Source organism: Homo sapiens, chromosome 10 (genome assembly GCF_000001405.40).
Source record: "Homo sapiens chromosome 10, GRCh38.p14 Primary Assembly".
NCBI lineage: Eukaryota > Metazoa > Chordata > Mammalia > Primates > Hominidae > Homo > Homo sapiens.
The window spans coordinates 59,002,033-59,017,766 of record NC_000010.11 but is presented as its reverse complement, the minus strand read 5'-3'; the positions used below and the strand labels follow the sequence as shown (position 1 = coordinate 59,017,766).

The window sequence follows — 15,734 nt, the reverse complement described above, 5'->3', positions numbered from 1 at the left end:
ACATGTTCTCACTTATTTGTGGGACCTAAAAATCAAATCAATTGAAGTCATGGACATAGAGAATAGAAGGATGGTTACCAGAGGCTGGGAAGGGTAGTGGGGATTGTGGAGGAGTTGGGGATGCTTAATGGGTACAAAAAAAAAATAGAAGGAATGAATAAGACCTACTATTTGGTAGCATAATAAAGTGATTATATTCAATAATAACTTAATTGTATATTTTAAAATAACATAACTTAAAGAGTATATTGGATTGTTTGTAATTGAAAGGATAAATGCTTGAGGGAATGGATACCCCATTCTCCATGATGTGCTTATTTCACATTATGTGCCTGTATCAAAACAACTCACATAACCCATAAGTATATATACCTGCTAGGTACCCACAAAAATAATTTAAAAACAATTTAAAAAATAAAGTCAAGGAATGTGGGTAGCCTCTAGAAGCTGGAAAAGGCAAGAAAATGGATTATTCCTCAGAGGCTCCAGAAGGGAATCCATCCCTGCTGACACCTTGATTTTAACCCAGTGAGACTCATTTTAGTCTTCTGACTTCCAGAACTGTAAGAAAATTAATTCGTGGCATTTTAAGCCACTATGTCTGTGGTAATTTGTTACAACAGCAATAGGAAATCAATACAGGTGCCCACATTATGTGTCAAACAACTTGTATTTCCATAATCATAGCATATTTCTGCGCCCTTACTTAATAGCTTATATAGCAGGTGCTTAATAAATATGGGTTGAGTTATTCCAGCTTGCTCCATTTCTATCTAACCATGAATATATCATGTTGGACATTGATAAAATGATCTCCAAAATCAGTTCCATCTCTAGTTATCTCTGGCTCACAGTCACATAGAATTTTAATACCATCTTTTTTAGGACCACTTCTGGGAACACAGTGGCTGCTTGGTATATAGTTGCAGAAGGGAAGAATGGGATGAATGATTCACTGTCACAAAGCAGTCTTTATTTATTTGTTTGCTTCCTTGTTTGTTTATTGTGACCAAAAAAAAGAAAAAAGAAAAAAAAACCCAAACACCCAACTACGGTTACTTCCAGTGAATTAGAGGAGGTAGCTAGAAAATCCAAAATAGAAGACTATGTCTCCAAAAGTATTATTTTAGTTTCAGAATATCTTTCTGTTGTCAGCAGATGCACAATTATTTTAAAATGACTATTGGGGTTCTTCCCTTATGGTACAAGCTTTACATTATATATCTGATTTACTTCTCTAAATTAAATTTAGAATAAGTTGGTTTTTATAAAGATATTTACAAACCCTGATCACTGATACTTGCTTAGTCCACTGTGTTGGCTGGCAGAAAAGGAAAGAATAAAGGGAAAAGGTAAAAATAAGTCAGAGGTCATTGGCTGACAGCCCAGGGAAGCCTCAGGGACCACTGTGACTTTGGGTGGTGTCAGCGATAGCTTTTTGTTTCAGCTTTCTGCCTAGTCTCCATTCTTCCTTGATCTGATATCAGTACTGCTGCTATCTAGTCGGGAACTACCCCACCCCCATTCTTCATCCTTATGGGCTAGGAGGGGCCATCCCACTCTCCAGCTGCAGTGTAGTCCTAGGATCCAAGTCTCTGCCCAATCATCACATTCTATTTCCCTGATCCCGGTGATTAGTTCGGGCTTAGCCACTTGACCCAAGTCAAGGCAATTAGATATTGGTCCAGGATTTTGATGAAACTGTTGAAAATAGAGATTTTTCTCTTTTCTCATTGGAATGTCTAAGACTAATTTAGATCTATTGACAAACATTTTGTCATGACAAAGGAAAACCTGAAAAAAACGGGGCTAATGGAGGATAAAGCAGAGACTAGCAATAGAGAACACAGCATCTGCAATGGAATTATTCAAACTCCTGGATCCTGCTTGCCTAAAGATAATACCACCTTGAACTTTTAAGTTAAGTGAGCTAATAAGTTTCTGCTTCTGCTTAAGCAAGTTTAAGTTGTATTTCTGTCGTGTGAAAACCGATTTTTTTTGGCTAATACAAGGAGTCGTCACAGTCTTGCAGACCCATAAACTTAAAATTGAGGTGTTTAGAAATGATCAGACCCAGAGGAAATGACTTACAGTAACCGGATTTAAAAGAGACTGATGTGTAATACAGAATAACTACTTTAATAGATATTTGCAGGTATCTACAGCATTAACATCTTCTCCCTAGGACATCTACTTTCCAAAACCATTTGGCTTGAGAAGCCAAATCGGCAAACAAAAGATAGCCTCACGATTCAGAATGAAAGAAGGTTGGCTAAATTGGACCTATTTTATCTGGACCAAGATGAAGACTTATGATCCACAATGCTGCCTACAAGAACACCTTTATTAGAATCTACTAGATTTGGCACATTCTTTCTCTGGACACTATTACATAATTCTCAGACTGCCTTTTTATGCTTCAGATTGACTATCCCTCTTCTGCTCACAGAACTTAATCAATTGTATTGACTCTCTTTTTTCTCCAAATATTCAATTAAATTCCATTTCCCAAGTTGCAATCACATTCTCTTTCTGCTTTCATGATCTATGTCCTGACCACCTTTGGTGACAGTATAGCTGTTTTAATGCTTTCCAGACACATGCATAGGAAATTTCTTAGTTTGCACTAACAGGTAGCCAATTTTACCCACTGGTAATTTTCAGTAGTTTAGCTCACAGAGGGCAATGGGAGAAGAGCACCTCACTATTGTCCCAAATACTGTCTAGAAGGGAAAGTCTAACTAGGACTGGAGAAGTTGCTGTATATTTGGGCTGTCAACATTCCAAGTACCTAAGGCCTTTTTTTTTTAATTGAGGTAAAATTTCTAGCAGCATAGTAACATATCAGGTCTTAGGTGCATAATTCAATACATTTTAACAAGTATATAGCCATGCAGCCAATACTCAAATGAAGATATTCATAACTGCAGGAAGTTCACAGGAGCTTTTATTTATTTATTTATTTATTTGTTTATTTATTTATTTTGAGATGGAGTCTCACTCTGTCACCCAGGCTGGAGTGCAGTGGCGCGATCTTGGCTCACTGCAACCTCTGCCTCCGGGGTTCAAGCGATTCTCCTGCTGCAGCCTCCCAAGCAGCTGGGACTATAGGCGCATGCCACCACACCTGGCTAGTTTTTGTATTTTTAGTAGAGACGGGGTTTCACCATGTTGGCCAGGCTGGTCTCGAACTCCTGACCTCGGGTGATCCACCCACCTCAACCTCCCAAAGTGCTGGGATTATAGGAATGAGCTTATTTGATACTCAATGTTTCACAGACACCAAGCAATATTAGTCTATTGAGAAAATACATACAGTACTGACAGAAAGATAATACTAATTCAGTAATGTTGTTATATAATTATTTGTTTTAATAGCCACAATTGTATTGAAATATTTGAAAAATAGAACTGTTTAGAATAGAATGTTTGAGATGTTACTTATTTTGTGAACAGATAATGCTTAGTGTCCATAAGGATTCAAATGCCTTTAGAAATAAGCTTTCAACCACTTCCGTAGGGGTCTGTGTCTCACAGATTAATAGGGTCTGCTTTAGCTAATCCAAAACGTATATGGCCATGAGCATTTGGGTATGTAGCAAAGTACAAAACACTTTCTAATATCATCATGACTGTTGACATAAACAGTTCACAGATGGGTAAAAGTAAAAAGCATAGGGCGTATGTATTCAGGGCAACCTGAATCTATGTCTCCCAGGCTGCAGTCCTCAATCTTGGCCCAAATTAATTCTCTACTTATATTTTTCTTTCAAAAAAAGCATGATCCATCTCTGCCATTTATGAATTAGGTAAACATGGGGAAAAGGCTAATTCTTTTTAACGCTTAGTTTTTTCCTTCTATTACATTAGAATGATGACTACCTTTTAGGGTTTTTGTAAGGATAAAGTGAGATAAAGTGGGAGAACCTTGAAAACTCTAGCTTTCATTATTATTGCTACTCATTAATAAATATAATATTTGAAGAGATACTTACTGAAGTACTCCATTCATTGCTCTTTTATCTAGCAAGTAACATGCTGACTTATGTGGGTAGAATCCCCCAGCACAGTGCAAAATGTTTCTCCTGTTAGAAAGAAATGTTAATGGAATTTAATTCCAGTCAAAAAGTCTCAACTTAATCGCATTAAACTTTCAGAATCTCAATTAGATAATCTTAGAACTGGAGTATATTCTTAGCACTGGACTATATATTCTATGGAGATATGTCTGAATTTTTCCAGTGAGGGGAAAAGACCAAAACAGGTAAATGAAAACCATTGCAATAGAGTGAGGACCCAAATTCAGTTCTCCTGACTCTTACTTAGTGCTTTTTTGCTGCTACTGATTAGTGAATAAATGATTTGAAAGGATACGTTTTACTAAAACATTTTTCACTGGATAACTGAACACAACAAAAACTAAAACTTCTCAAATCTTTCCTTGATATGTGGAAGCATATCCCTACTTAAGGAAATATATCTGTGTAAAATTGCCTTTCTGACAGTTTCCATTCTTCTGGTATTTCTGTCTGAGGAATATTTTAATTTCCCAAGAGACTAAAACATTTATTTTCTCTGCATCTCTGTAATTCATTTGAGAGACAGAGTCTGCCCAAGGTTAGTTGAGCAGCTAACGACCTTAAAAGGGCATCTCAACTTCACAAGCTCTGCCATTGCCACTCCCCACCTGTGAGTGAACCCGTTAAAATCACAGCTGTGCTTCACCTCTGAAGTCCAGGGTTTTAGTAACCACCTAACATACCATGGAGTTCCCAGGGGAAATATTAAACTGAATGATTTCAGAGTAACTAGAGCTGAACTGCGGTTGAAGCAACATGCCTAGTTAAGTCATCAAACACACCTTCAGTGGTACCATAAGGAACAAGAAATTTGGCTTTCTCTGTCTTCAAATCCACAGTGGTAGAAATGAGAGGGAGTATAAACAGGAGCCAATTTTATATTTCCAGTATTCAATTCATTTCTAGCCCCAAGGCTTGATGTGAAGGCAGCAGGGTTAGTAATTAAGCTGAGATAGAAATGAACAATGCTGCCAAGCTGGCCCCAGTGTCGTTTGATATTCTATTATATCTGTAAAGGGCAGACGGACAGTTCTGATGGCTCCTAGGTGAGGCAAATGTACTTTTCATTAACGCAGGAAAGCCAAACAATTTTCTAGTAACTTGGAAGAGATTATGTTGGACAAACTCGACTACTAGAAATGCAATCAGTAGCTGCAAGCTCAGTGCCACTCATGATCATTCTATTTGGAGCTGCTCAAGACGATTAATAATAAAACTTACCAGATCCATTTGTACAGTATATTTCTACCCATGCTCTCAATATGACTGCAAATTGCATCTATTAAAACCTACAAATTACAAATTTAATTAAGCCCTGTTTAAGAGATTAAGTTCTGACTCACATTCTTATAAGTAAATTCTATCTAATAAAAATAGCTTCTATTTTTTGAGCACTCGTTTGTCAGACAACAAAAAAATGAAAAAATGTATTCTGTATAGCTTATTATTCTTCACGGAACTCTGTAGTGTTGGTATTATCAACAGCATACAGCTGAGCAAACTGAGCCTCAAGAAGGCTAAATAAAATTGCACACAATTTCTAAGCTGGTAAGCGGTGGAGCCAAGGATAGAACCCAGGTGTAGCTGATCCTAAACCCGGCCTTCTTTCAACCACCTATAATAGTATTTGGCTATATGGGTCTATACCAGTCACTTATCTTTCAAAGGCTACCTCTAGTCCAGCCATTTCCATGAAAGTTTCTTTGAATATCCCCCCCTATTTCCTATAAAAATCATAGGTTTTGGGCTGGCCAAGTTGGCTCATGCTTGTAATCCTAGCACTTTGGGAGGCCAAGGCGGGTGGATCACCTGAGGTCAGAAGTTTGAGACCAGCCTGACCAATATGGTGAAACCCCGTCTCTACTAAAATTACAAAATTAGCCATGTGTGGTGGTGTGTGCCTGTAGTCCCAGCTACTGGCAAGGCTGAGGCAGGAGAATCACTTGAACCCGGGAGGTGGAGGTTGCAGTGAGCAGAGATCGTGCCACTGCACTCCAGCCTGGGTAATAGAGCAAGACTCTGTCTCAAAAAAACAAAAACAAAAACAAAAAACCATAGGTTTCAGAGTCAATCAGGCCTGATTTGAGGACCCCAGCTCTACTATTTATTTACCATTTGACCTTGGATGATTCATTTTAATCTCTCTGAACCTCACTTTCCTCACCATAAAATGAGAATAATAATACTACGTCATGGAACTTTTCAGAGGATACAGGGAGATGCCAAAGAAGCATTCATATAGAGTTTGGCAATTGCTAGTAGCTAGTTTTTGTTGAGGACTTTGTACCAGGCATTGTGCTAAGTGCTTCCCACTCCTTATCTCATTTAATCCTCACAACAACTCTATGATGTAGTTACCAACACATTTCCGTTTTGTAGATGGGACAATGCAGCTTCACAATGTTAGATGCAACCACCAGCAAGTGTCAGAGCCAGCCCTCTGACTCCAAAACCCATTCTCCTCTTCATGATAGGGCGATCTTTAGGCCCATTAGAAAGTCATAAGATCAAATTAGTTGTTCATTATCAGAATTATTTAATGAAATAGAAGAAAAAGTATAAAATAGATTAGAAAAGAAATTATCAGTAGGCTTCATACAGTAAAGATAAATATGAAAATTTACTTTATATAATATAAAAACATGTTTTAGGTATGTGTATATGTGTGTACTGGGTCATGATATAGTGTATTTCTTATTTTAACTTATGAAAATTCATATACGCTACATTATACTCTCTCTAAATTATAGGTTATCCAAAATAGTTATCTTCCTTTTCCAAGCAGTATGTCACAGTTTTATCCTTAAAGCCAAGCATAATGTCACTGTTGTCATTTTTAGTTTCACCAGGTCACATTTACTTTGATAACTGGTTATTATTCCATTCTAATATTCAGCGACAGTGACTTTAATTTGAGCTATTTCATTCATTTATTTATTGGCTTATTTAATAATTATTAAGTGCATACTATGTCCCAGATATTAAATTAGGCACAGGAAATTAAATGGCAAACAAAAAACACAGTTCTTGCCTCAAAGAACTTCCAACCCAGGGAGGAAACCAGACATTAAACATGCAATATAAATAATGCTGTAAGTTCTCCACCAGAGTATGCAATGGGTTCTGTAGGATCTTAGAACTTAGTACATAGGGTAAAAGCAAAACAATACCATAGATGAATGTACCAAAAAAAAAGTCGAATTAGTTCAAGGGTAGCATAAGAGCTTCAAGGAGAAAAAAATCTTTTAAACTTGGATTTGAAGGCTGAGCAAGATTTATCCTGGGGAAGGGGAAAAGGAGATGAGTAAATATGCTGAGTAGAAGGAAAGAATGTCTAAAGGCCTATAAGTGAAAGAAAGAAGACTAAGCCCCAGGTACTGAAAATCCATCATGGTTGGAGTATAGGGTATGAGGGAGCTGGAGAGAGTCCAGGATGTCTTTGGCTCCAGGTATTGTCAAGCCATCAGTAAGGATGCCACTGCTAACCACAAATTGCTGCAAAGGTGCTCACCTTAGGGCATCCAAGCCCCAAGACCCAGTCTTTGTTTATTTATTTTCTCCTGGCCCATTGCCCCTGAATGGCCTGAAACCAGCAAATAGGAAGTGGCCTTGCCTTGTTCTCTCTCTCACCAACTCTTCACTTTAGGGGTTCTTTAAAAATCCATAAAATAATAAGAGAATGTGGAATTTTTTCCTTCCCTCTTCCCCATATCTCTGTAACTTTTAGAAGCTTGGTCTCTGGATTGAGACAGACCTTGCTCTTGGCTCTGAATAGGTTGTTTGGTCTCTGTGGCCCTCAGTTTTTTCACTTATAAAATGAGTAAAGCTGGGTGAGACGGCATGTGACTATCGTCCCAACTATTCAGGAGGCTGAAGTGGGAGGAGCTTGAAGCCAGAAGTTCGAGGCTGCAGTATGCTATGATCATGCCTGTGAATAGCCACTGCACTCCAGCCTGGGCAACAAAGCAAGCTTCCATCACTAAAAATAAATAAAATAAAACGAAAAAGAAGAAGAAGAAAGAAAGGAAAAAAAAAAAAGGAAAACTGAGGGGACTCATTGTTCCTGTCTCAGGTACTGAGACCAAATGAGGTAACACATGTATAATAAAATGCTTGGCACATAGGATGTGCTCAATATACTTGAAGTGTTATTTTAAAAAACTTACTGAAAGTTTCTGCCTATACTTCGGGGGGGATTTCATTTTGTTATAAAGACTTTAATTTCAGGCTTTTTTTTTAACTCTTATGCAAAGTTCACTGAGGAACAGCTACCTCATTCAGTTATATATATTTGGTTATATATTAAGCAGCACAAAGAAACACAAAAATCAAGGATGAGTCAAGTCCAATTAAGCTAAGGAAGTCAGTTTCATCTTTATCAATGGGTTGCAATACTGTATTGCTGTTCCCCTATTTCCCTTATATACAAATCTTCCCACGTGCTTCTTTTTCTGGGATGTTGGAATGATGTACGATGAAGGTTTCTCAAGTACTAGTGAGACTGAAGTAATTTTCTACATAATGTACCACAAACAGATTTAGAAATGTCGATTTTAGATGCTATGATGCATACTCAAATTTTCCATGCAGCAGGTTAGATAGTAGCATGACTAAGTTGAAGGGCCAGTGATCTCAAATGTCTCATTGGTGTTTCATATACTGAAATATTAACAAAGTAGAAAATCAAAATGAGAGCAATTTAGGGATTCTCATGTCCCCTGATTACAGGCTAATTTCTATGGGTCCAATTTCAGACAAAGAAAAGAGTGATAATGGAAAGGAACACAGCCGGGAAAACAAGAATGACAAAAAGCACAGAAAAAAGGGAATTGAAGCGAAATCACAGGGTCATCATCAAAAGACCCCATCTCCACAAAACAACACTATTACAATCCTCCCTCTTCTCAGAATCCTCAGCTGGGCTACTGGGCTGCTCTATCAAAAAATTGGCAACCCCTGTATACTGCAGTGCATCAAGCACTGTTTATTGCCAGTTGAAAAGAAAGCTTGTTTGCATTTTAGAACACTCTGGTCTGAGATGACTTTTCAGTGCTGCCTGGGAGCCAAGTTCCCCAGGAGAATCACAGGGTCTCTTCTGATCCCCACCTTTTCTTGGACATGCTCGGCAGCTGAGACTGCCTTGTGCCTAAAAGTCAGCTGGTTTGCAAGAGAAAATGTCCAGAAAATGTCCTGCTACACACTGGGAGGGTCCATAAGAAAGTAAGGCTGGGGCAGTTCTGCTGTGAGAGGGCGGAATGTGGAAAGAAACAATGCAAAGATGTTGGTAAATTCCACTGAAGGCTGAGGGACAAAAGAACAACTTTGTATTAATTAGGTTTTTGTTTGTTTTTGTTTTTTGAGACACGGTCTCACTCTGTCACCCAGGCTGGAGTGCAGTGGCGCAATCTCAGCTCACTGCAACCTCTGCCTCTCAGGCTCAAGCAATTCTCCTGCCTCGGCCTCCCAAGTAACTGAGACCATAGGCACATGCCACCACACCTGGCTAATTTTTGTATTTTTAGTAGAGACGGGTTTCGCCATGTTGCCTAGGCTGGTCTCGAACTCCTGACCACAGGATCCACCTGCCTCCGCCTCCCAAAGTGCTGGGATTAAAAGTGTGAGCCACCGCGCATGGCCAGTTAGGCTTTTTTAATGGTGCCAGTAACAACACCCCAACTCAAACCTGTAAGCAACAAACGAAATTTGATTGACTCACATAACTCAAAAGTTAGACTCAGGAATATTTAGATCAGATGTTCAATGGTTTCTTTGGACTCTCTCTATTTGCTGGGCAGCTGTCCCCTGTGCTGACTTATTCTTAGGCAGGCTCTCCCCAGTGATGGCGAAAGTGATCACAAGCCAAACTTACTTTTAACCAGTTTCAAAACCTCATCTGGAGGAGTTCACTTCCTTCCCAATAATTCAAGCAGCAATTTGGGGACTAGCTCTGGGCCATGTGCCTAGTATGGGTATGGACAATTCTCTAAAGGAAAATTGAGGTCCTGTTACCAGAAGAAGGAGAGATGGACTTGGGACTGTTGAAAACCAACTAAACAACTTACCCACTGGGCTTTTTGGATACTCCATTTTAATTATTAACTAGAAGCAGAAGTTGCACAATTGAAGATAGCCCTTTATTTATCTCTTTACACATTGACTCATAATCATCTATGATTTCTCCTCAGGAAAATATCAAAGACTATGATACACTAGGGCACCTGAGTGTCATGCCATTTTGAAGCTTAGACAGAATACCAATAGAAATGACAAGTTCTTCCTGTGAGTTTGCTGACACAGGGTTCTTTAACACCCATGCTAAATTAAGCAGCTAAATCAAGAGCTACCTCCCATAGCTCCAAGGTAAAGCAAGGATGCGTCAGCCAATTTTCTGACAGAAATTGATAGCTTTTGTGTGCGTGTGTGTGTGTGTGTGTAAGTGCCTTCATATTTCCGACCCCTTCCATGTTTCTTTCCATTTTGCTGACCACAAGGAACCATCATTATTTACATTAGCAATTCCCAATTGTTTTTAAAAAGTGAGAATTCCTTTCTAAGAATTCATAAATGTCTCATGATAGTAGTAAAATCTCTTGCCTATATTTACATATTGAATAAGAAAATACATACTGTCAAATAAATTTAATGTTATTAAAACCATTTGTGTCATATTGATTACAACACCTACTTACATGTGAAAAATGAATAGTATATGTATGTATAAGATGTATTATTGTTTTCCATCTATGTAGGGATATGTAGATGTCTTGCAATAATTACATAAACCTTTTCTGTAACAAGGTCAAGGAATTGGGGTCAGGTGACAGAATGATTCTTTTGTAGCTCCAGTGTTTGTTTTAACCCAGAAGGCCAAGGTCTCCAGATGTTAGGTCACAGCCCTGCATTCTGCCTCTTTTTTTTGCTCTGTTTCCATGTCCTTCAAATAACTAACTCAAGCTCAAATTTTAACAGAAATTGAACTGACCAGCAGCCAAGGGAGTTGACACGTGATTTATGAGTCAGGAGACTTGAAGATGGTGACTTAACACAGCTTCCAGATGCTGAAAACGAAAGTGACTCAAGACATACACTCCAGGTTGAAGGCATATGCCAAAAAGAGAAAAGTGGGAAGTGTGATTTAGGGCCTATCTTCCAAAGGGTAATGATGAATCTCCTCAGAGGCATAGCATTTCACTTTCAATCAGGATACAAAGATAGCAGGAAACATTTATACCAAAAGGGAAATTTGTTCAAAAAGTAGAAATTTATGCAAAGATAATTTTTTGAGGTGATATTTTTGACAGTAGAGCTGGCAACTGTGTTTAGAGGTCATTCCCACACTCTGGGTACCACTCATGACTGTCATGCTCTGACGAGCTCCTAATCTCTCTCCTAAATCCTTCCTCCCTCCAGCTTCACAGATGAGACAGAGTGGAGATGAAGAAACAGTCTCAAAATTATAACTGTGAACCATAGAATTTCCTCTGATCTTTTGTGTGCAAAACAGTAAATAATAAAAAAAAAAGAGAGAGAAATTTAAAAATTGAATTTCCCCTCCAAATCACAAGCATTTATAGTTGGAAAATTTCAGTACTAATTTGTAGACAAGTGTCTAACATTTGGTAATCCGTATGTCATTACAGATATGGGTCAAAAATGGTACATTTAGCTGAAAAATTATGTAAAAAGAAAGTATTATGAAAGGATAGAGACAATTATATTTCTTATATCTGAACAGTATTAGTGTGTTTCAATGATCACTTTATTCTCAGTGTAACCTCAGCCACTGGAGAATGCTGATACCTAAAAGTTATGATGATTAAGAATGTGGTCTTTGAGGTCGGGCACAGTGGCTCACACCTGTAATCCCAGCACTTCGGGAGGTGGGGGCGGGAGGATTGCTTGAGGCCAGGAGTTTGAGACCAGCCTGGCCAACATGCTGAAGCCCCGTCTCTACTAAAAATACAAAAATTAACCAGGTGTGGTGGTGCAAACCTGTAATCCCAGCTACTCAGGTGGCTGAGGCAGGAGAATTTCTTAAACCAGGGGGGCAGAGGTTGCAGTAAGCCAAGATCGTGCCATTGCACTCCAGCCTGGGTGACAGAGGAAGACTGTCTCAAAAAAAATAAAATAAAATAAAATAAAAGTGGGCTTTGGAAGGAGACTGAGGCTGGGAAGTCCTACTTCTGCCATTATCCAGCCCTGTAACCTTGGGCAAATCACTCAACTTCTGTAAACTACACTTTCCTTATTCATATGGTGATATTACAAATTTGCGAGATAAAATTAGTTATGACATAATTTATGTAAAAACACTTAGAAAAATGAATGCAACATATTAACTACTAATAAATGTTGACTTTTACTATTAATTGTGACAGTATTAAGGGACAAAACATCTTAACATGGCAGTAATTTGAGACTCCTGACCCAACTCCCCCTAATAAGAGGACTTTGTCTTTATCTACTCAGATTCTTCATTTGTCCCTGCCTTGCCCTCTAAGAGAATTTTGCCAAACTAATTCCTAAGCTTTTTGTAAGAATAGGCAGACCACGTTAAAGAAAACAAACAAAAGGACAGAAAAAACAAAGCAAAACCAAACAAAAACAGCCAGGTAGAGTAGACCTGCAAACTGAAGAAGTTGGGTGAAGAACAAAAGCCCACATGGGCCACATGTTCTGTGAGAAAGTGTTTTAGGATTTGGCATGTGAGAGTCTCTGGAGCAGCTTTGGAGTCTGAGAAACAAGAAAGGAAGCAAAGGCAGTTTGGGAGCCAGGGCATGGTGGCACATGCCTGTAATCTCAGCACTTTCAGAGGCTGAGGTGGGAGGATTGCTTGAAGCCAAGAGTTTGCAGTTGCAGTGAGCTATGATCATGCCACTGCACTCCAGCCTGGGCAACAGAGTGAGACCCTGTCTCTAAAAAAAAAAAAAAAAAAGTTTTGAAAGGTGTTTTACCATGGATTATAAATGGATCTACTATCACAATCTTTAAGAGATCAAAGTAAAGAGCAGGTTTCAGTTGTAATGACTGGTTTCTTGACTGTGCTTTTTCATGGAGCATTATGTAGAGGCTAGGTCATGTGGGGCCTCGGTTTATACATAGTTTATGCAACCACAGTTCCTGACTTACCAAGTGGCACTTCTCTAACAGTGCTGTGTCAGATTTGCCTGCTATGATCACTCCTTTTTCTGGCTTCTGTATTTATTGGGTGAAGTACACTTTAAACTTAAAGAAGTGAGTCTTTATTTTTCTACCTTCATCACCAGGCTCTTCTCCACTAGCAACTCTTTAGAAAATAGCAGTGGCCTCAGCAAAGGAACATATAGTAATCAGTAGTGCAGTTGCAGACACTTAATCTTTATTGCCACCACCCCAGACCCTAAGTCAATCCTTAGCCAGGTTGGGGGAAGCAAACAGAGAAGGCAGATTATTACAACTGTTCCTCAGACATCAGATTTCTTCTATGACAATGAAGTGTTCGAGTAATTCCTGGCACCATTGTTTTAGGGTTCACTTTCCAAAAAATACAGTCAGGATTTCTCTTTGGAAACATGCATTACAACTCTTCTTTATGGATCTGTTCCAGGTAATTACACTGTTTTACTCAGGACAAAGCCTCACCCGTTAAAGAGCTTTGGTACTATTGAACACCTTAAATTTATGTTGTGACCAACAACAGCATCAGGGATTACAGGGGGAACAGATCCCTTTCACATATTCTAAATACACAACTGAACAATCAACACAATTCAAATGTTGCAAACATTTAATTTATTCCTGCCCTGACCCGTCTTTCAAATAGCAGACTCAAAACAGGTGGTTATTACATCAGCCTCTAAATCACTTTTGTATAATCAATTAACCTCATTACGTTGAGGTATTCAAACAGTTTCCACCAACGGACAATTTTATTATGACCAACACAATTTGTTTTCTCTTACCAGCCTCACAAATGGCCTCCTGAAACTAATGCTTAGAGAAGTATTGGAAAATTTCCTGTGCTGTCTCAGGGCTGTATACATTTGCCACACAGCAGCACAATGAGTCCATGTTATTACATATGAAGGCTTGGGATTATGCCTTTCCATATGAAATGCATAAGCAAAACAACCCAAACCACCCCAGCCTACACAGAGAAATTCAAGTACCTAAGTACCCACCCTATTTTCCAAACAAGTAATATCTATACAGGCTCCTAATACCAAGGACTTCATTGGGTTTGTTGTAAATAAGTCAGTGGATGATCATAAAACACTTCTTGGCAGTAACTAAATCAAGAAGATCAGCGATGGTTGGCCTAAGTCAGCTATAAATTTTATGGCAATTTTTTAATGAGGCAAAGGAAGGGAGCTTATCAGCATTTTGGCTTTCAGGGTCAAATGAAAGAAAGCAGGAGAGAGCAAGAGAAAGGAATCTGGGGTACCTGGTGCCAAGAGAAGGAAATGGAAAAAGAGTGAATAAAAAAGGAAGAGAAAAATCCCCAGCTGAACAGAAGGCAAGAAGCTAGAGGCTTATACAGCCTTTAGCTTAAGGGCAGAAAGTTGTAGTTTGGTGTTTTCCTCAAGGGATGCCTGCAGAAAGATTTCTGTGCCAATGTGACCTTGGAAACTAAAAATGGATCACAGCTTTGGTGTTTGGGCTGAAATATACAAGAGAAACGCGGGAAACAGATATGAAATAGATTGGGTAGAAACACCAAGTAGCAAAAGACAAACCATACCCAAAAGATAAAAACCAGGACAGGACGTCATGATTATTATGACCCATGTTTATTTGACCAGTCCTGACCAATACAGGACCTTCTCTGGAAACAGGGGTTTTTTTTGGGGGGGTGGGGTGGGGTGGTGGTTTGAGACAGAGTCTCGTTCTGTCGCCAGGCTGGAGTGCAGTGCTGTAATCTTGGCTAACTGCAACCTCTGCCTCCCTGGTTCAAGCGATTCTCCTGCCTCGGCCTCCCTAGTAGCTGGGATTACAGGCACGTGCCACCATGCCTAGCTAATTTTTTGTATTTTTAGTAGAGATGGGGTTTCACCGTGTTGGCCAGGATGGTCTTGATATCCTGACCTTGTGATCTGCCCGCCTTGGCCTTCCAAAGTGCTGGGATTACAGGCGTGAGCCACCATGCCTGGCCGGAAACAGGTTTTAATACTTCTTTGGAAATGGAAATGTTTTGCCAACTTAATGGAGAAGGCTGGCATTTCCATGGGGACTATGAAAATTTATTCTGATTTAATAAAAACCTGAACAAGCCAAAGTGAAACAGAAGCTCAATGTTCCAAACTAAATTAGACATTTTATTAATCCAGTTAGAGGTCATTGGCCAACTGTAAATTCAGAATAGTGATTTTTAAAAGAGAAGAAGTGGGGATGGGTAAAATACCCTGAGAATCTGGCCTTCACCTGCAGCTGGGCCAGGTAGGTGGGAACCTTGACAAAGGAATGATGCAGGTAGCTGGGCTGGGTGTGTTTGGTGAGTTAACAAGTAATCTTCAAAGCAAGAATCCGTGTCCATTCAGAAAGCAACCAGACTCTACACAGCAAGACTCTGGCTGCCATCAAGCCTTGGTGTTCAGTTGGCCTGAACTTTGATGCAAAACTGAGCTCTGTTCCTCGAGATATCCCCACTAGCTTTTACGTGTGTTCTCACAGATGTTT

General features: G+C 39.2%; 1 long non-coding RNA gene across 1 annotated transcript in view; it reads right to left on the bottom strand.

Annotated features, from left to right (window-relative positions):
- Nucleotides 1-4,085, bottom strand: part of LOC102724768 (uncharacterized) — a 52,436-nt gene extending 48,351 nt beyond the window's left edge. The window contains exon 1 of the long non-coding RNA XR_428752.5: nucleotides 3,996-4,085. This is a non-coding gene — a long non-coding RNA (uncharacterized LOC102724768). The remainder of the gene's footprint in view (nucleotides 1-3,995) is intronic.
- Nucleotides 4,086-15,734: the final 11,649 nt, after the last annotated feature.